The sequence below is a fragment of the Homo sapiens genome, chromosome 9, assembly GCF_000001405.40.
Source record: "Homo sapiens chromosome 9, GRCh38.p14 Primary Assembly".
NCBI lineage: Eukaryota > Metazoa > Chordata > Mammalia > Primates > Hominidae > Homo > Homo sapiens.
In genome coordinates, this window is record NC_000009.12 from 35,368,218 (window position 1) to 35,389,055 (window position 20,838).

Genomic DNA, 20,838 nt, shown 5'->3' on the forward strand with positions numbered 1-20,838 from the left:
CACCCTCAAGTAGGCCCGTGTCTGTTGTTACCCTCTTTGTGTCCATGTGTTCTCATCATTTAGCTCCCACTTATAAGAGAGAACATGCAGTGTTTGGTTTTCTGTTCCTGCATTAGTTTGCTAAGAATAGTGGCCTCCAGCTCCAGCCATGTTCCTGCAAAGGACATGATCTCGTTCTTTTTTATGGCCACATAGTATTCTGCGGTGTATATGTATCACATTTTCTTTATCCAGTGTGCCACTGATGGGCATTTAGCTTGATTCCATGTCTTTGCTATTGTGAATAATGCTGCAGCGAACATACTCATCCATCTGTCTTTATGGTAGAACACTGTATATTCCTTTGGGTATATACCCAATAATGGGATTGTTGAGTCGAATGGTTGTTCTGTTTTTAGTTCTTTGAGGAATCACCACACTGCTTTCCACAACGGTTGAACTAATTTACACTCCTGCCAACAGTGTATAAGTGTTCTCTTTTCCCTGCAGCTTTGTCAGTATCTGTTTTTTTTTTTTTTAGTTTGTCTTCTTTTAATCAAGGGTGAATCATTGAATGAGCTACCCCCTTCTTCTTTTATTGAAAGATCATTTATGTTTAAAAAAAAAACTTCTTGCCTTAAGAGATACATATTGTAGTTTCTAGAATTAGCTACAAAGTTGTGGCATCAGTTGCTTCTTCAGTGATCTTTAGTTTTTTTCTTCTAATAATTGTAAAATACACACATGTCAATGGGACATATCCAGACTACTTCTGAATGTAGCTATGTAGTAGTTTTCTAAATGATTCCCTATTGTCTTTCTTCCTTTTCTTTCACCTTCGTCCTTAGAAGCTGTCCTAAGTATAGAACTTCCCTCAGTCTGGTAGTCTCATTAAAAACAAAGCCTACTGCCTATGTTCAGGGAGCTGTTTTATTAGAAATCAGCATATTGAGTGGCCTGTTTCAACTCCTGGACTTGACCCAATTTGTGGTTCCATTCTTTGCCTAGATAGCTACAAGTACCTACTTTTTCTGTTGGGATATTTCTGTCTTTAGACCAGCCGTGGTATACAGCCCAGCTACCCAACTTTCCCAACGTCTTTGCTCTCATTAAAACCAAGTACATGAGTTCTTTGCATTAAGGCCAGAGAGTTTTTTGTTGCTTATCCATCTCATTTTATAGAAGCGTCACCAAGGCCCAAAGTGAAGAAGGAATTTTGGGAGAAGACATAGTACATTAATAGAAGAACTGGAGTTAAAATCCAGGTTATTTCAGTGTAGTTTCTTTTGGGTACATTTTCTGTTTTTATTGCATATTGTTATAAAAGAACAATAAAATTAATCAGTATAGAAAAGGTGTAAAAGTTTTAGAAATGTCCAGCTGCTGTAGCTGTAATTTTTCTCCAGGCTCTGTTGATGTGTCCATAGGGCTAGGCCACACTCATACAGTCCCTTTGCTGTTTCCTTCCTAAATGGTGTTTTGTTTTGTTTTTTCTTCCCTTAGGTGGTCTTTTGGAAGTCTCTCATACCACCTCCCCTATTACACTTGATTATGAGGGCTCCTTTCTCCATGGAGAAGGCTTTTCTTCAGGAGGCCTAGGTAGACAGAACTGGTGACTCTTTTACTCTTGGATGGAGACGGTCTCCTTCTATGTGCCATTGTCTGGTATAGTCTTACTCACCTAGACTCTTGCCGTAGAGCCACCCTGTGGGTTCTGTTCTAGCACAGCCTTGGCAAGACTTATCTTTGGGGAGCAGTGTCTTTGCCCTGAATGTGGGGAGAAGCCCTCTTGAGTGCCAATTCCTACCTTGCCTTATGGAGCATAAAAGTGCCTTCAAATAAATAGAAATGCCTTGAACTATCACTGGGATAAAAGAGCCTCAGTTCTCAGCTGAAACTGTAAGAGACACTGAGGGGTCCTGTGAGAACAGATTCTATTGCTCACTCTTCCATGACTTTATTTCCCTGACTTTCTGTCTTTCCTTCCCGTCCTAAAAGCACATGGTAGAGGTCAGTTCATCTTCCTCTGGGGAGAGGGAGAGCAAGGTGAATGGAACACTGAACCCACCAGCTAACTCAAAGCAAGACTGACGGTCCTGACATATTTTCTTCTCTCCTCAGGCCAGCCGGAGGGCTCTATGGCATTGACAGCATGCCAGATTTACGCAGAAAGAAGCCACTGCCACTTGTCAGTGATCTGGTGAGTGAAGACTCTTGTGCAGGCATAGGCAGTAGCCTTGGGGTATCCCCCATTGGGCCTTGGCAAGCTGTCAGGATTGGAAGTCGTCCATTTAATGACTCAAATTGATCTGATGATCAATCATTTAAAGCCTTCGGAGACTTAGCAGTGGCTTCACAGGGACTGTGTTCTACCTCACTCCCTAGTCAGAGTCCTGAATTTATTAGCTCAAGCTCCTACCTGGAATATTTGTGACTTGGGCTCTCAAAGTTAGGATTTTGTGTCTTCCTATAGGCATCTAGCTCTTATAGGTATCTCTACAGCCTTCTTTGATGACCTGTAATGGAAATTGCCTCCAGCCCTTGACCTCTTGATCATTGAGCTTGGTATGGGATGAGCATGACTGGAGCTTGATGCCTTCTTGGAAGTCAAGCAAAAGTCTCTTCTCAAGACATAGGCTTTTGAGACTATCTCTGTAACCTAGTGTCAGGCACTGAGAGGCAATGATAAAAATTTGTGGAATTGAATTGAAACAGGCTTAAGAGTTAAAGCTGATCCCAGGGCCTCCATCCCATCCTCCCAGGATGACCAGAAGCCCCATTCTGGGTCATACCTTCTGAGGCACAAACAACCCAAGGAATTTTCTGTAGCCTTGTGGGTAGTTGGGGGTGAAGTGAGGTCCAGGTTCTCTCAGAGCTCTAAAGCTAGAAATCGGGTGTAAGGATTCAGTTAAATGTGAACCCTTTTCCCTTATTACCATTTTCTGTTTCTGTTTTCTTTTTTCTCTCTATTCTATCTATTGTTTTTCCTAACCACCCCTCTTCCCTCTTCCCCATTTCCTGCTCCACTAGTTTCTCCCTCCTTAGTTGACCGAATGAAAGTATCATCTGCCATTTTCTCTTCATCATTTTTCTTCCCTTCCATTATTTCTTACCATTTGTTCATCTTCTCCTTTCTCTCTCTTTCTTTCTTTCTTTTTTTTTTTTTTTATAGAGACGGAGTCCCTGTTACCCAGGCTGGTCTCAAACTCCCGGGCTCAAGTGATCCTCCTGCCTCAGCTTCCCAAAGTGCTGGGATTACAGGCGTGAGCCACCATGCCCGACTCCTCCTTTCTAATGTACCTCTTCTTCCACTAGCTCTTCATCTAGCTGGTTGAAGATAAATTCTGATGCCATGTCTTCTTCAATACCATTTTCCTTTCCTTAATGTCTCTCATCTCCTCTTTTTTTTCTTCCTCTTCTTCCTACTTTTTTTCCTCATCCTTTCTCACTGTTTGCCCATGAGCAAGTATCTAGTTTATTTCTTGCTATCCCTCTCTGTCTTTTGCCCTATCTTTGGCTTTATGGCATAATACTCCTTAGAGTAGGTGCTCTAGGCTTTGGGTCCTGGCCAGTGGTCTGGGTTGAAGACAGTTTTTAGTGGACAGAAGCAGAGTGGATTGGGAAATGCTCCCTGCTTTGGACTATAGGGAAGAACCTCTCAGTTGCCTCTGAAAGTTTTCATGCCCTTTCGAGCCTTTAACATCATGTTGTTCTTTTCTCTGCTGTCCTCTACGCAGGCTATGGTGAGTGTCTCCAGAGCCCTTTCTCATCCTCTTTAAAAGTCTGCATCCCTGGCTGGTTGCAGTGGCTCATGCCTGTAATCCCAGCACTTTGGGAGGCTGAGGCGGGCGGATCACAAGGTCAGGAGTTCGAGACTAGCCTGACCAACATAGTGAAACACTGTTTCTACTAAAAATACAAAAAAATTAGCCAGCCGTGGTGGCGAGTACCTGTAATCTCAGCTACTTGGGAGGCTGAGGCAGGAGAATCGCTTGAACCCGGGAGGCGGAAGTTGCAATGAGCTGAGATCGCACCACTGCACTCCTGCCTGGGCGACAGTGCAAGACTCTGTCTCCAAACAAACAAACAAACAAACAAAATCCTCATCCCAAATCACTTGGGCCCTTCCCAGCTGTTCCTCCTGCTTAGGCTGATATTATGACTTCTGCCTTCTCAGCGTCCTCTGCCTTTAGGAAACCATGTGCCTCTCCAGGGGCTGCCCCTAAAGCTTGGGCTTGGCAGATACATGGGCCCTGTGCAAGAGTGTGGCTAGCAAGGCAGCCCCAGCTCTCAGACTTAACTCTCTGGGCTTGGCAGATACATGGGGCCCCTGTGCAAGAGTGTGGCTAGCAAGGCAGCCCCAGCTCTCAGACTTAACTCTCTGGGCTTGGCAGATACATGGGGCCCCTGTGCAAGAGTGTGGCTAGCAAGGCAGCCCCAGCTCTCAGACTTAACTCTCTGGGCTTGGCAGATACATGGGGCCCCTGTGCAAGAGTGTGGCTAGCAAGGCAGCCCCAGCTCTCAGACTTAACTCTCTGGGCTTGGCAGATACATGGGCCCCTGTGCAAGAGTGTGGCTAGCAAGGCAGCCCCAGCTCTCAGACTTAACTCTCTGTGCTTGGCAGATACATGGGGCCCTGTGCAAGAGTGTGGCTAGCAAGGCAGCCCCAGCTCTCAGACTTAACTCTCTGGGCTTGGCAGATACATGGGGCCCCTGTGCAAGAGTGTGGCTAGCAAGGCAGCCCCAGCTCTCAGACTTAACTCTCTGGGCTTGGCAGATACATGGGCCCTGTGCAAGAGTGTGGCTAGCAAGGCAGCCCCAGCTCTCAGACTTAACTCTCTGTGCTTGGCAGATACATGGGGCCCTGTGCAAGAGTGTGGCTAGCAAGGCAGCCCCAGCTCTCAGACTTAACTCTCTGGGCTTGGCAGATACATGGGGCCCCTGTGCAAGAGTGTGGCTAGCAAGGCAGCCCCAGCTCTCAGACTTAACTCTCTGGGCTTGGCAGATACATGGGGCCCTGTGCAAGAGTGTGGCTAGCAAGGCAGCCCCAGCTCTCAGACTTAACTCTCTGTGCTTGGCAGATACATGGGGCCCTGTGCAAGAGTGTGGCTAGCAAGGCAGCCCCAGCTCTCAGACTTAACTCTCTGGGCTTGGCAGATACATGGGCCCCTGTGCAAGAGTGTGGCTAGCAAGGCAGCCCCAGCTCTCAGACTTAACTCTCTGTGCTTGGCAGATACATGGGGCCCTGTGCAAGAGTGTGGCTAGCAAGGCAGCCCCAGCTCTCAGACTTAACTCTCTGGGCTTGGCAGATACATGGGGCCCTGTGCAAGAGTGTGGCTAGCAAGGCAGCCCCAGCTCTCAGACTTAACTCTCTGGGCTTGGCAGATACATGGGGCCCCTGTGCAAGAGTGTGGCTAGCAAGGCAGCCCCAGCTCTCAGACTTAACTCTCTGGGCTTGGCAGATACATGGGGCCCTGTGCAAGAGTGTGGCTAGCAAGGCAGCCCCAGCTCTCAGACTTAACTCTCTGGGCTTGGCAGATACATGGGGCCCCTGTGCAAGAGTGTGGCTAGCAAGGCAGCCCCAGCTCTCAGACTTAACTCTCTGGGCTTGGCAGATACATGGGGCCCCTGTGCAAGAGTGTGGCTAGCAAGGCAGCCCCAGCTCTCAGACTTAACTCTCTGGGCTTGGCAGATACATGGGGCCCCTGTGCAAGAGTGTGGCTAGCAAGGCAGCCCCAGCTCTCAGACTTAACTCTCTGGGCTTGGCAGATACATGGGGCCCTGTGCAAGAGTGTGGCTAGCAAGGCAGCCCCAGCTCTCAGACTTAACTCTCTGGGCTTGGCAGATACATGGGGCCCTGTGCAAGAGTGTGGCTAGCAAGGCAGCCCCAGCTCTCAGACTTAACTCTCTGGGCTTGGCAGATACATGGGGCCCCTGTGCAAGAGTGTGGCTAGCAAGGCAGCCCCAGCTCTCAGACTTAACTCTCTGGGCTTGGCAGATACATGGGGCCCCTGTGCAAGAGTGTGGCTAGCAAGGCAGCCCCAGCTCTCAGACTTAACTCTCTGTGCTTGGCAGATACATGGGCCCTGTGCAAGAGTGTGGCTAGCAAGGCAGCCCCAGCTCTCAGACTTAACTCTCTGGGCTTGGCATATACATCGGGCCCTGTGCAAGAGTGTGGCTAGCAAGGCAGCCCCAGCTCTCAGACTTAACTCTCTGGGCTTGGCAGATACATGGGGCCCCTGTGCAAGAGTGTGGCTAGCAAGGCAGCCCCAGCTCTCAGACTTAACTCTCTGGGCTTGGCAGATACATGGGGCCCCCTATGCAAGAGTGTGGCTAGCAAGGCAGCCCCAGCTCTCAGACTTAACTCTCTGTCCTGCTTGATTTGACTGAGGCTTCAATGCCCTTTTCACTTGCCAAGTGCCCTACTTGTAGGCCTGCTGGCCTCTGCAGCCATCCAGGGATTATGTGGGCTTGGGGAGGTGCCAAGGTATAGAGGTTAGCATGGAATCATTTTTCTCCATAATGGCTCTTGAATGTGACTCTGACAGAGTTGTGTGTCTCTATTATTCTTAATTACCTGTTTCCTACTATAGTTCTAAGCTTTTCATTTTCCTTTGCCTTCCCATAAACAAGGAGTTTCTGTGGGGTAGGACACTAAGAAGAGTGAAAGAAAAAGAAACTCTTTGGATGATAGATACCCTGAAGAAAGTGCTGTTCTAACATAGTTAGAGCAGCCCCCTGAGGGCCTTGGGTTTTGCATCTTAACCTGGGACACTTGTCACCTGTTAGGGCGGTTGCTGTGAGTGACAATAAAAATAGAAAGTACTGTAGTAAGCTATAGTCAAGTGGCTTTGGTCACTGAAGCTCCCTCCCCCAGACTTTGCCAGCCCTTGGCAGTGGTCAGGGCTAACAGCAGATCTTCCCTGACAGTCACTGGTCCAGTCTCGGAAGGCAGGAATCACTTCTGCAATGGCTACACGCACTTCTCTTAAGGACGAAGAGCTGGTAAGTGTCCCAAGTGCTTTCGTAAGTCCACTGGCCTCAGGACTGGTGATCATCTCTGTAGCCATGCTATTAATAATTGGGAATTCTGGGAATTCAAGAGTGCTGGACACACATTGCTGATGAAAAAGATAGATAGCATCAGGTGTTAGTTTTCCACACTGGGAAAGACTCTAAGCAAGTCTAGATCAGAGAGTAAGCCCAAGTCTCATGTTGAAGGGTGTGACCACTGAACTCAAGGTTTTATGATGGACCTAGTACCTTCTGTTTTCTTAGAAAGCGTGAATGCTGGAACAAGGCTCGGATCCAGCATCAGGTCCAACCTGTGTTGGACAACCAGAAGCACACTATATTGTGGGCCTCATTCTGCTATGCTGGGCTCTGGGCTGGGCCAGGATAGAGCATCTTCTTCATTGCCAGAGGAGACACGAAATCAAGGTCCTGATTGTCCCACAGGGTCTCAGTTCTGGTATCTCCCTGCAGAACCCAAAAGTCATGGGGACCAGGCATGTTGGCTTATGCCTGTAATCCCAGCACTTTGGGAGGCCAAGGCAGGTGGATCACTTGAGGTCAGGAGTTCGAGACAAGCCTGACCAACATGGTGAAACCCTGTCTCTACTAAAAATACAAAAATTAGCTGGGCATGGTAGCATGTGCATGTAATCCCAGCTACTTGGGGGCCAAGGCAGGAGAATTGCTTGAACCTGGGAGGTGGAGGTTGCAATGAGCCGAGATCATACCACTGCACTCCAGCCTGGGCAACAGAGCAAGACTCTGTCTCAAAACAAACAAAAAACAAAAATCATGGGATGGGGTATGTGTCTTTCAGAAATCCCACGTGTATAAGAAAACCCTGCAGGCCTTAATCTACCCCATTTCGTGCACCACTCCTCATAACTTTGAGGTCTGGACGGCCACTACCCCAACCTACTGCTATGAGTGTGAAGGCCTGCTCTGGGGCATTGCCCGGCAGGGCATGCGCTGCAGCGAATGTGGAGTCAAGTGCCATGAGAAGTGCCAGGATCTGCTCAATGCTGACTGCCTGCAGCGTGAGTGCCCTGCGGGATGAGGGGCGGGGAGTGGGGCAGCAGGGGCTTTCCAAAATAGTCTGCAGCAAAGAGCTGGGATGGCTGAACCAATCATTCCCCCAGTCCACCTGATTCTGAAACCCTATCCATTTCAGAGAAGGTAGGATTCTGAATCAAGGGGCATTGCCTTTCCAAATAACAGGTCTTACACTACCTTCTTAAGCACCTTTAGGAAAAATTCTTTGAGCTTTCTGTGGTAGTGTAGCTAGAATCTTATAGGATTCAGTTGATCCCAGAGACTGAGCTTTGTAGTGTATACAGCACAGCGGCCTTATTGTCCAAATGACAAAAGCATCAGGATCTGAGGCTAATGAGAGGAAAGAAATAGAGTTTTGTGGGGTTCCAGGCCCCACAGAGGAACCTCCTAAAGCCTAGAATCTAGGACTCAGGGAAGGCAGCATTCATTACTTGTTTTTAGACAATAGTGCCAGAAATAGAAATGTCAAATGAATCTGGTAGAGGTCCAAGAGGAGAGTATACCAGACCCCCAGGGCCTTGGCTAAATATATGACTTGTCCTGCCATGATGGAGTGGGGACAATAGGAGCAGGAAAAGCAACAAGTTCTTGTTAGAGGAAATGGTAGCGCTCAAAGTTCATATCTCCTTGCTCCCCTCCTGCTGGCCTTGCACTCACTGTGGCTGGACCCCAGGAAAAGCAGGGGTGAAGGAAGTGGGAAACTATTTTCCTGCCCTCCAGACCTCCCAGGTATTACCCACAAGCCAAGCTGTAGCACTGAAAGCTTTAAAGATTGTGCTAGGAGAAGGGAAGGTCACCTCTAGACCCACAAGTACTTCATTATCCCAAGGACAGCTATGACATATAAAAGGGGACCAGGGAGAGGCCTTGAGCAATTATTCATGGAAAATGTCCTTTGAAGAGCCTCAAATTGGTGCCAATGGCAAGGCTAGGTTAGACGTGAAGAGACAGGTAGGACAGAGTCAGCGGAAGAGATGGGCTCTGAAAAGACTGCCTGAAGACAAATGCTAGTAATGACTTGGCCAAAATCCATCATGAAGGGGTGGCAAGTGCAGGTGCCAGAGGGCCCTTGCTTAATTGCTGAGAACTAGCAACCAGGCTGGCTGCATAGTTTCTCCACTGCTCTGCAGCCTCTCCCAGGCCCCATTCCTCAGCTCAACCCTTGGTCTGGTAGGTGACCTGTTGTGTTCCTGGCCACCTTCAGGGGCTGCAGAAAAGAGCTGTAAACATGGAGCTGAGGACCGGACCCAGAACATTATCATGGCCATGAAGGACCGCATGAAGATCCGAGAGCGAAATAAGCCAGAGATCTTTGAAGTTATCCGGGACGTCTTCACAGTGAACAAAGCTGCCCATGTGCAGCAGATGAAAACAGTGAAGCAGAGTGTACTGGATGGCACCTCCAAATGGTCAGCCAAGATCACCATTACTGGTGAGCAGGCCACAGTTTGAGGGGACAGGAAGGCCTGGGCTATGGGGAGGAGACTGGGGAAGAAACATCCTGAGCGTGAGGGAGCAAGGGATTAGGGAGAAAGAAAAAGGAAATCACTGGGAAGGAAAGGCCTCTTTATTAATCACTTCTCCTTACCTAGACCCTGGTGCCGGAGAGGCAAGATTGCTATCTGCAAACAACATGAACCATAATACAAGGATTTGCTAACAACCTAACGCTGTAGACTTGGCTAACAGTTTGATATTATAAGAGGTGGGGGGAGGGGGAAGGGGAAGGGCAGGGGACCAGGGAGTAGCTAACCAGTGGTTTGCTAACTGGGTGGGGCTGAAGCATGTATATATCAGAGGGTGTAAAGATCAATATAGAGATAAGTGGTCAGTTAGGGCTTGGGTAGGGAGATGGGATGCTTGGGCTTTAAGGGAAAGGCTGGTGGCCCAGGACAAAGAATAAATATGGAGGAATGGGATTACGGTATCTGTGCAAGGAGCATAGACTGCTCTAAGATGGAAAGCATATGAGTAGTGTTGTGGGGGGCTTCTGAACGACTCTGAAGCCTCCTATACATGCTTGGGTTGCAGTGGTGTGTGCCCAGGGCCTACAAGCCAAGGACAAAACAGGATCCAGTGACCCTTACGTGACTGTGCAAGTCAGCAAAACTAAGAAGCGTACCAAGACCATTTTTGGAAACTTGAATCCTGTTTGGGAGGAGAAGTTCCATTTGTAAGTCACAGAGAGCTTTGTCTTACCTGGGACTGTGTGTATTGGGGGAGCAGGATCACATCCTGCCATTCTGGGCTTGAGCTTGAAGATTGGGCAAAGGCAGGGGAGAAAACTCATTTCTCGCATGCTTCGTTCAGACATCAGCCATTCTTTCTCTGGTTTTCTTCTCATGAGCTGTTGTGTCAGGATTACTGTGCCCATGCCCTGTCTTCACCAGGGCTATTAAAGGGGCCCTAGGGCACCCCATCCTGCTTTTTCTAGCAGTAGAAAGATTTTACTACTTTACTGCTCAGTGACAGAACCAGGGACTGACTGCCTTATTGTACCTCCTACCCTTGCCTAGGAAGGTACAGTAGGGTTAGGCTCTCATAAGGAAGGCTCTTATAAGGAGTGGGGAGGGAGTGTCCTTGTCCTAAAACTGGGTAATTCTGGCTTAAAAGTGGAAATCTGGGTTCTGAAGAAGATGCTGTTTCCCATAAAGATAGTGTTTCTTCCTGCCTCAGCTTCTACACTCACTCATTTTTTTATTATCTCACTTTCTTACAAACTATTTCTTATGACAGTAAAGGATGGTTATTGAAAAATGGCAAACTAATGTCTGAGAATCCACATGCTTTGTCGCTCCCTAATAAGGCCTAGGGTCAGGATTTTGGATTTGAATCAGCCAAGCAGGCTGGCTATGTAGAGGCCTCCTTCTGTTGGCTCCTCAGAAGATTCAGAAAGGGATTAAGGCCAGCGTGGTGGCTCACACCTGTAATCCCAGCACTTTGGGAGGCTGAGGCAGGCAGATCACCTGAGGTCAGGAGTTCCAGACCAGACTGGCCAACATGGCAAAACCCCATCTCTATTAAGAATACAAAAATAAGCCAGGCATGGTGGCAGGTGCCTGTAGTCCCAGCTTACTCGGGAGGCTGAGGGAAGAGAATCCCCTGAACCTGGGAGGCAGACGTTGCAGTGCACCAAGATCATGCCACTGTACTCCAGCCTGGTGACAGAGTGAGACTCCGTCTAAAAAAAGAAAAGAAAAAAAAAAGGGATTAGGATATAGTAAAATTCATCTCTAATCCAGAGATAATATTAATAGCTACCAGGAGAAACACCTGTTTGAGAATCTGAATAGTTCCTGCTTGAATTCTTCTTATGACTAATTTAAAATGAACTAGCTCTTGGTCATTTTTGCCCACTTTTAGTAAACAGTTTATTAAGCTCATATTCTGTACAAGACACTATACATAATACAGTGTATCCAAAAATGAATAGAACAATCCCTGGCTTCAAGAAGCTCCTTGTTGATTTGTCTATTATCTTCTCACAGAGCAGTGGTTATACTGTAATATTTTAATGGAATGTGGAAAGATAACATAAGAACATAGGGAAAGTAAGAGCACATTTTGCCAGTTACAACTTTTGGGTGAAACAACAGATCCCAGAAAGCAACTGTTGGAGAGGAGAGCTTGAGACAAGACCTGGGAAAACTCCTTTCTCCAAAGCAAACCCGATAGACGAGATGACAATTCAATGGGATATGATAGGCTAATATAGAAGTTCACCAAGCACATAGTTAGGCAGATGAGAGAGTTAGATAGAAAGCCAAACAGTTATAACCCTATGGGCCTACCATGAACATGTCTAGCACCTTTACTGACTTCATGTCCTGGGCTCTGAGGATGGAGCTAGCAGTTGCTTCCTGGAGCTCCGTGGCATGTCTAGCTATTTTCCTCTTGGTGTTGCTGATACAGCTAGCTGTATAGGAAGTCAGAATTGACCTGAATTACTCTTCCCTCCACCCCTTGCCCTTTGTTCTAGGACAATAAGAACTGTACAGTGGTAGATAGAGCCACCCAGGCCGAGGAATGAAGAGTCATTTGCTAGGATAGCCCAACTTTCTTGGAACTTTTGTACTGCTGTCCTCTGACTTCTCCTCTTTCAGGGCCTCAAGTGCAGCTGTCGGAGCTTTTGGGAGGGAATAGGAAGTAACAGGATTTGGCGCTACTGGGTCTGCCCCTAACAGAGCCTGCCTAATTCTCTCACAGTGAGTGCCACAACTCCTCTGACCGCATTAAGGTGCGTGTATGGGATGAGGATGATGACATCAAGTCAAGAGTAAAGCAACGCCTAAAGCGAGAGTCTGATGATTTCCTTGGCCAAACCATCATTGAGGTTCGGACCCTAAGTGGCGAGATGGACGTCTGGTACAACTTGGGTGAGGAAACTGGACCCGAGAAAGTTGCTTGGAAGGGAAAGCATGAAGGGGACCTGGGAATAGTCCTTCTACCAAAACCACCATCTGTCCCCAAAGCATACCTCTATACAGAGCCTGTCTCACCTGCAAAGAACTGACTGTGGGGAGGGATGGGGGACAGAGGAGTGGCAGTGGCTGTGAGTCACTCTGGCTGAATGTTCTCTAGGTTTCAGAAGGCCCTTTAATCTTCATACTAGTGCTTTTGTCCCCCCTCCACACTCCTGTTCTCCTACCCAGCTAGTTCAAGGGTACTTGTGGAATATGTGGTCACTGGAGTGATTCACCCTATTTGGTGAGTCCTTGGGTTGGCCCCTTCTTTTCCTTGGGTTGGCCCCTTCTCTTCCTTGGGTTAAGCCAGAATGGAACTATCTATGCTGTCTAGTTGCATTGGTGTCAATCTCCAGTCTTCTTTCCTTCCTAGAGAAGAGGACAGACAAATCAGCCGTCTCAGGGGCTATCCGACTACAAATCAGTGTGGAGATCAAGGGGGAGGAGAAAGTAGCCCCATACCACGTGCAGTATACATGTCTCCATGAGGTGAGCCAGCCCTTGGTAGGTGGGGGATCAGAAAGCAGTGCTGGGAGAGGCCTTTGGCCATAAGTAGGATTGCTAGGTGGTTGGAATCCGAGGCCCATTTTAAATTTTATCCTTGATTCACTCTGTTACCCTGGAGAGTCCGAGTGACTGAACTCAGACTGCATTCTCTTCCACTAATGTGAGAACAGCCTACTGGGGCCACAGGAGGAACTGAGCAATGACTGGAAGGACAGAATTTCTGTGGGACCTTGTGCACATTCTTCTGGGCTTTACCACCAAGTTTGTTTTTGTCTTTCATATGTGTTTAACCCATTCCCTTTCTCTGCTCTGTCTCCTGCAGAATCTTTTCCATTACCTCACAGACATTCAGGGCAGTGGAGGAGTCCGCATCCCTGAAGCTCGAGGAGACGATGCCTGGAAGGTGTACTTTGATGAGACAGCCCAAGAAATTGTGGATGAATTTGCCATGCGTTATGGCATTGAGTCCATATATCAGGCCATGACGTGAGTCTCTGCTGCGGCACCGGGAAGTGGCTACTAATCACTGGGGTGGCTAATTAAGGCACACTGACATGGTGGGCAGGTCCTTAGTGAGGTAGCATGCAGTGATTCCTTTACTTTCCTCTCTGAGCTGGGTGAGATGGGTCTATGCCCCAAGACAAGAAGGGTATATGTAGAAAAAGAATGTTGTAACTCACAGAAAAGGTATTTCTGTCTGCCTCAGAGTTGAGGGAACTCTGCAGGGAAAGAGGCATGTGAGAGTATGCAAGGACAACCTGCCTAGACATCACAGGCCTGAGCAGACAGGGTATGTGTGCTCGTGTACATGTGTTTGTGACAACCGGTCTGGCCTAGACTGGCCTGGGGGTTCAAAGAGAACACTAAACTGCAGGGAAAGCAGCTGTGTATGGAGTTGACCAGGACTCCTTGAATGGGAATTCCAGATTGCTATGAGAAGCAGGGTAGCCTTTCTGTCAGTGAGGCTGCCCCTAGAGCTGTGTGCAGAAAGTAGCCCTAGGCAAGAGAGGGCAGCAATTGCCCTGGCTGTGCTTCATTTATCCCATAAACTTTTAGAGTTCCTGCTTGGCTTTTGCTGCAAGCCCTGAAGAGTCTTTGAGGCTGCGGGTGCTGTGTTTTTCAGGCACTTTGCATGTTTATCATCCAAGTACATGTGTCCTGGTGTGCCAGCAGTGATGAGCACCTTACTGGCCAACATCAACGCCTACTATGCCCACACAACTGCCTCTACCAATGTCTCTGCATCTGATCGCTTTGCAGCCTCCAACTTTGGGGTAAGTATCATGTAAACACATATGTCTGCATTTGTTACCAATTAATAAAGTTTGATTTTTTTTTTTTTTTTTTGAGACAGAGTCTCGCTCTGTTGCCCAGGCTGGAGTACAGTGGCGTGGTCTCGGCTCACTGCAACTTCTACCTCCTGGGTTCAAGCGATTCTCCTTTCTCAGCCTCCTGAGTAGCTGGGATTACAGGCACCCGCCACCACGCCCGGATAATTTTTGTGCTTTTAGTAGAGATGGGGGTTTTGCCATGTTGGCCAGGCTGGTCTGGAACTCCTGACCTCAGGTGATCCACTCACCTCGGCCTCCCAAAGGGCTGGGATTACAGGCTTGAGCCACCGTGCCCAGCCAAGTTTGATTTTTCTTGGCTGGTCCTATAGAGTTACTTGATGTGCTTAAAATTCAGATAGCTACCATTTTGATAGATGAATCTTGTTTCCTGTTTCCTTATGGGTATGCGGACTATACTAATAGCCTCTCCTCACACACAGATAAAGAAGAGAAGGTGGTTGGGGGTGGTACCACCTGGGCTTGGCCAGAACCCCTCTGGGCCAACAACTTGGTTGAATTACGATAGTCTTCCATATTCTTCAGTCTTGCAGGTCCACAAATGGATTTTTAAAAATCTTGTTCAGTCTGTCTGTGATGGATTCATATTACTTGAGTTGATATGAGACTGATGTCTAAGCAATGATGCCAGTGTGCACTTGAACCTGTTCCTTTTCTAGTGTCCAGACTGTTTTCCCTATCCAGGGTGTGCCCTTCCTGGGTTAAGGTACCTGAGAAGTTGAGTCATTACTCAGAATGTCACCTGACATTAATTCAGTATAAACTAGATAAAATAATTCTGACCCAACACAAAAATTACCATTTTGGGCATAAAGTTACTGATATCACCCCAATTCACTGAGTCTATGAAATCTGACTTTTTTGTACTAATGAATTTTTTGTTGTTGATAGAGCCTTTCTGTAGATGTGTAACTTATTAAGCCAGTCAAATATTTGTTCCATTTTGCCTCATCTCATTATGTATTGACTTAATCAACATCTACTCATATAATCAATATATGAGTTCTAGGAGTGGGATGCCAACATCCTGCAGGCATATGATTCCACGTTTAATTATACTTTTTCTATGAAAATCAGCTATTAAAATAGTATATGTTAGATATTTTAACATTTAAAAAGTATACACTATGGGAAATGTGTGTGGAATGTGGTTTAAAGAGAGACCCCTTCCTGCCTGTCCTGTTATCTTTCATATGCATCAGATTCTCCCTCCTATCATCACTGCTAGGCTGTGGCTGTATAACTGTTATGCACTACCCCGAGATAAGTCAGGAGACCTCAGACTCAAGAGAGAATGTGTTTGGAGTTTCTTCTTATCTAACTAAGATAAGTTACAGTCCCAAAGGTATAGAGATGCACTGGTCATGCCCTATTGACTCTCATATAGAAGGAGCCATTTCTCCCCCCAGGGACTTGGCTTTTTCCTTGTCAGTGTGAGATTTCCCAGATTGGGACAGAGCTGCAAAGAGATAGAACAGGGACTTTCTATCTCATTTTTTCCGTTACACTGTTTGTTGTTCTTCCCATGGGCAGGGATGTGTCTCCAACCCAATGCCTCCCGACTCTTTCTACTCATCCAGGGGTGGTTCTGTTTCTGTTATAGTTTAGGGGACTCAGACACAGGTTCTCTTTTTCTTCCCCTTTATTTGTTTCTCACCCTCAGAAAGAGAGATTTGTAAAACTGCTGGACCAGCTACACAACTCACTGAGGATCGACCTCTCTACATACAGGGTGAGTGAAGACACGGCTGTGGGCAGGATAATAGATATCAAGCACGGTCCCAGAGAGACTGTAGGCCAATCTTGGCTATAAAGATTGAGGCCAGGGAAAACTGGTCTGTGTCATCACATCCACCCAAATGGCCAATGCTACTGACACCTGTGGTTCTTTTAACTCCAGGGACCATGTGGTGTATAAATAGCAGCAGGTATGGTTAGTTTTTATAGACAGTTGTCTTTCCAACCTCATTCTTAACACTCTACTAAACTCTCTGGTGACATTCTCATTAGGGAGTTTCCTGAGGATAATCTCTTCCAGGAGTATCCTTTTAAAAAATTAGATACCTAATTACATTTCTTTTTTGCATTTTTCCATACTCTCCTCGTTTTCCAGCGGAGGTGTGAGAATCTGGCTAGGGGACAGAGAGTAGCTTGGCTTTTGCAAGTAATCTGTATCAGAGAGCATGTCCATTCCTAGTATAAAGGGAGGAAATAGGTATAGTAGGAGGATGGTTACTGGGACGGGACAGGATAAGGAAATGGGCAGTTTCTTAGTTCCTCCTATGTTAGATCTTAGAAATGGCTTCATTACTTGCTTTAAAGTGTGTGAATTTTCAGAACAGGCAATATATGCACATTAAAAAGTAAGTATAAAAACAACCTTAAAGTCAAAAAGAAATGAGGTTTTAATTGTCTGCACTCAAGTGCCCTCCATTTGCACAAATAATGGACAGCTGACTGTATATCTTATATTTGGCATATAAGTAGCCATTTGAAGGTTTAAAAACTGACCATTAATGTGAAGACAGGCTCAGCATCTCCCTTCAGCTCTTCATAGCAGCTCCCTCCTAAGACTCGTGCCAAAGTGAATGAAGTAAGGATGGCTGGAAATTCCTAAGGAACTCACTCCAAAAGCAGTTCTGCTCAGAGATCTGCCATCTGCTGGCTGCAGAACAGTAGAAGAGCTGGGTTCTATTGTACAAAAAGTACAGGTCCTGGACCTCAGTTTGGTCTGTAGTGTGGCTCCACTTATATTCCAGGATATACAGTTAGATTGTAATTTTCGAAGAACTCACTGTTGGTGTGTAAGAATCTTCATCCAAGAAAAAAGCATGTGTGTAAGTTTGTGTGTGCCTGTGTGTTCCTTTGTACAAGTGCTTATACATTGCATGGGAAGTAGGGCTGGAGGAGGATGTGTCACTTTCTAGGGTGGGGAGTATTAACCCCTGCTTTTGGCAAGAGCCTGTTTGCATCAATAGAAAAAAGAGAAGGAGACCTGTAACTTTACAGTGTTTTTGGCCAGCTCAACTAGAGAAAAACCCAGTAGGTAACAATTAGGGAAGCTTTTGATATCATCACTTTTGGCAGGGAAGGTTTTCATAGTCCTCTGTTCCTTTCTTACATTTGCTTGATTTGCAACAGAATAATTTCCCTGCTGGGAGTCCTGAACGGCTTCAGGACTTAAAATCCACAGTGGATTTGCTGACCAGCATTACTTTCTTCAGAATGAAGGTAAGAAATGGACTGGGGCTTGGGTGGTGCTGGGCTGGAGACCTGGCTACAGGAACGTGAAGAATGAGAATCATTGGGCAGAGTCTGAGGCTACAGGATTCATCACCTCTAAGCTTACATTTCTGTGTACCTGTTCCCTGGGTTACTTCTGAGAGAGCACATAGACTATGGATCCATGAGGATGGGGTGGAAGTTTTCCCTGTCAACTATCCTGGCAATTTCATCACAGGGAAAAGTCTAGGGACCCAGACAGGGATGAAAGAATCTAGAGTAGGTTTGGGGTAGTGCTAGGAGAATATCCCACCCAGGTGAGCAGGTCCTTGGGCCCATATTTCTTCTTTTAATTGGCAGGTACAAGAACTGCAAAGCCCTCCAAGAGCCAGCCAGGTGGTAAAGGATTGTGTGAAGGCCTGTTTGAACTCCACATATGAATATATCTTCAACAACTGCCACGACTTATACAGCCGCCAGTACCAGCTGGTAAGAGGTTCAGGATCAGGTGGGGCCAGCTGTCAGTGGCTCTTTGGAGCCTCAGTTTTCCTTCATGATGGTGGTGGAAAAGCACTCAGGACAAAGTACTTGATGTTCTCAAGGGTGAGTGAGTTGTGGAGTATGAACCATGTGGACCATGTGAGATATGTGGATGGAAAGAGACCCCTGGGCAAGATGAGACATACCTGAATTGAACAGAAATGGCAACAATAATGATGTTGAAGAAAGTAAACCTAAATTCATGCACAGTTCAGGGGTTGAGTAGGGGAATTCTCAGTCCATCCCAGAGTCTTTTTTTCTCCCTCAAGTTTAACTTTATTCTGACTCTTGCAGACTCTTGTAAGTTCTGGGCTTCCTTCCTCTGAGATCTGAAGTGGTCTCTGAGCTGCTGGCTCCTGGAAGCTTTACTTTTCCCTCTAATTACTTCTCTCTGAAATGTGTGGTTCTTCTGGGTTGTATTCATCCACTGGCTATCAAGACTGACCCTATCCTTCTGTGAGGCTGAGCTACTTCACCTGTTTTAGCCTGGCACCCTAAGTCAGTACCTGGTGACTTAGTACATTTTCCCAGATCCTTCTAATAGTGTCCCCGATCCATGCTCCCAACTTATTTGAAAGCCAGAACTTACTTCTAGCTCCAATTACTCAATTACAGTTCCAATCTTAGGAGTTTCTTGCTGACCATACATTTGCAGAGTGGATTCCCTTCAGTCCAACAAATATTGAATGTTTGTTCTAGGCCAGGTCTGAGGAGAGCACAGTGCTCCTTCAGTAAGTTTGCAGTCTCATAAACATATATATAACTCTAATCAAAAGAGTCTGTTTGAAGGGCCTTGAAAAAGGGATAAGATTAAAGGAATTCCAAGGAGGAAGAGTCTTTTCGCACTCTTGATCAGATACCAGGAAAAGCTACATAAAACAAGGAACATTTGAGATAGACCTTAAAAGGCAGTGGGATTTGGACAACCAATGATGGCAGGACAACCTAAATGTCTTGGACATTTATCTTTAAGTAACTACATCCAATTTGTAAAGCTTCCTAGGAACACCCTCATAAAGACTAAGATCTTGTTCCTACTGCCTCTTCTCATTCCCAAGTGTACTTTCTGTGCCAGCCATGTATTTAAGGCTTCTTCCTTTTAAGGTTTCTAAAGCCTCCTGTTGATTCTGAAATCCATGGGAGGTTTTCCTGAGGCCTTTGTTTTACTTGATACATTCTAGGCTCCTCTGTCATCTGTCTATGAAGTCTCTGGTTGAGGAAAGACACTGTTCTCATAAACTATTCAGGGATACTCTTTAGCCTTTGTATTTTAGTATCTGCTTTTTACTTTCTCTCAATTTCATTTTTTCCTTATTCCATATTTACACTGGCATAAACTCTTGATGTCTTTTAAAATTTCCATCTGTTGACCTTCAGTCATTGGTTTATTCGTCCATTCATTTACTTAACAGAGCATTAGAGACATAAAGTTGAGTAAGAGACATTTCAGCCTTTGGGGATCTCATGGTTTAGTGGAGGTCAGGGCAAATTACTACATTTATTGTTTTTTTGTTGTTGTTATTTTGTTGTTACTATGTTTTATTGTAGTTGTAGTTTTCTGATACATCTACACCAAAGGTTCACAGAGGGTGCTGTGGGAGCCCAGACCAAGGATGTCAGGAAAATCTCTCAGAAGAGGCAAAGTTCAATCTGAATTTTGAGGAAGGAGTAGGAATTAACTAAAGAAAGGGGCTGGAGGGAAGGGGCATACCACAGAGAGAATAGAATGCTTGGAGGCACAGAATTATGTATGAGCTTGTTAATTTAAAGAAATATAAGCAGGCCGGGCGCAATGGCTCAAGCCTGTAATCCTAACACTTTGGGAAGCCGGGGCGGGTGGATCACTTGAGGTCAGGAGTTTGAAACTAGCCTGGCCAATATGGTGAAACCCTGTCTCTACTAAAAATACAAAAATTAGGCAGGCATGATGGTGGGTGCTTGGAATCCCAGCTACTTGGGAAGTTGAGGCAGGAGAATTGCTTGAACCCAGGAGGCAGAGGTTGCAGTGAGCTGAGATCGTGCTGCTGCACTCCAGCCTGGGCGACAGAGTGAGACTCCGTCTCAAAAAAAAAGACAAAATAAAAATAAGATAAAGAAGTATAGCAATTTAGGGTACTTACGGCATCCAGCTGTGGGATTCAGCTATCTGGGATCAAATCTTAGTTCTGCTCTTTAAAACTGCATGACTTTGGACAAGTCATGTAACCTTGCTGCCCTTCACTCTCCTCATCTGTAAATGAAGGTGATAATAATTTCTACTAAATGGAGTTGTTGTGAGGATTAGATAGGATAATGTGTGTAAAGGTCTTAGCAGAGTGTGCGGCACATAATAAGCAGTAAATAAGTGGTGGTGGTGTGGTAATAGCTGGAACAAAAAGAGTTGTAAGGTATGAGGTTGAGAGTCATATTCTGGAAGGTGTAAACTAAGGAATTTAAACTGTATTGAACGCCGTTGAAGGGCTTTAAGCAGAGGAGTAACACATTGAGATTTTCTTTGTAGAAAGATCACGATAGCTGCAAGGAGGAGGGATTGGATTGAAGATCAAAGACCAGTTCAGAAATCCTTGAATGATAAGAGCCTGAGCCAGGACAGTGACAGAAAAATAAAAGGAAGAGATGTATTTAAGTTATATTAAAGATTCTGTCCTGGTTTCTAGGAACTTCTTGATAATGCAGGCTTATTAAGGACTGTGGAAGCTTTCCAGTGACAT

General features: G+C 46.2%; 1 protein-coding gene across 18 annotated transcripts in view, besides 1 other annotated feature; it reads left to right on the forward strand.

Annotated features, from left to right (window-relative positions):
* Nucleotides 1–20,838, forward strand: part of UNC13B (unc-13 homolog B) — a 243,327-nt gene that overhangs the window by 206,209 nt on the left and 16,280 nt on the right. For 14 of the 18 annotated variants that reach the window (NM_001387551.1, NM_001371189.2, NM_001330653.3 and 11 more), the window contains 12 exons: nucleotides 2,101–2,179; nucleotides 6,910–6,984; nucleotides 7,811–8,030; nucleotides 9,251–9,478; nucleotides 10,078–10,219; nucleotides 12,253–12,422; nucleotides 12,883–12,998; nucleotides 13,339–13,502; nucleotides 14,140–14,290; nucleotides 16,029–16,097; nucleotides 17,507–17,596; nucleotides 17,948–18,076. In NM_001387551.1, the coding sequence (NP_001374480.1) occupies nucleotides 2,101–2,179; nucleotides 6,910–6,984; nucleotides 7,811–8,030; nucleotides 9,251–9,478; nucleotides 10,078–10,219; nucleotides 12,253–12,422; nucleotides 12,883–12,998; nucleotides 13,339–13,502; nucleotides 14,140–14,290; nucleotides 16,029–16,097; nucleotides 17,507–17,596; nucleotides 17,948–18,076 (1,633 nt within the window). Of the gene's footprint in view, nucleotides 1–2,100; nucleotides 2,180–3,716; nucleotides 3,723–6,909; nucleotides 6,985–7,810; nucleotides 8,031–9,250; nucleotides 9,479–10,077; nucleotides 10,220–12,252; nucleotides 12,423–12,882; nucleotides 12,999–13,338; nucleotides 13,503–14,139; nucleotides 14,291–16,028; nucleotides 16,098–17,506; nucleotides 17,597–17,947; nucleotides 18,077–20,838 lie in introns of all 18 variants that reach the window. The other 4 variants (XM_047422602.1, XM_047422603.1, XM_047422604.1 and 1 more) reach the window with 2 other exon arrangements.
* Nucleotides 5,054–5,606: an enhancer, noted in NCBI's record as "OCT4-H3K4me1 hESC enhancer chr9:35373268-35373820 (GRCh37/hg19 assembly coordinates)". NCBI's record gives its function as "activates a minimal SCP1, AML or CMV promoter by ChIP-STARR-seq in naive H9 embryonic stem cells {active_cell/tissue: H9 hESC(naive)}" and the evidence as "EXISTENCE:reporter gene assay evidence [ECO:0000049][PMID:30033119]".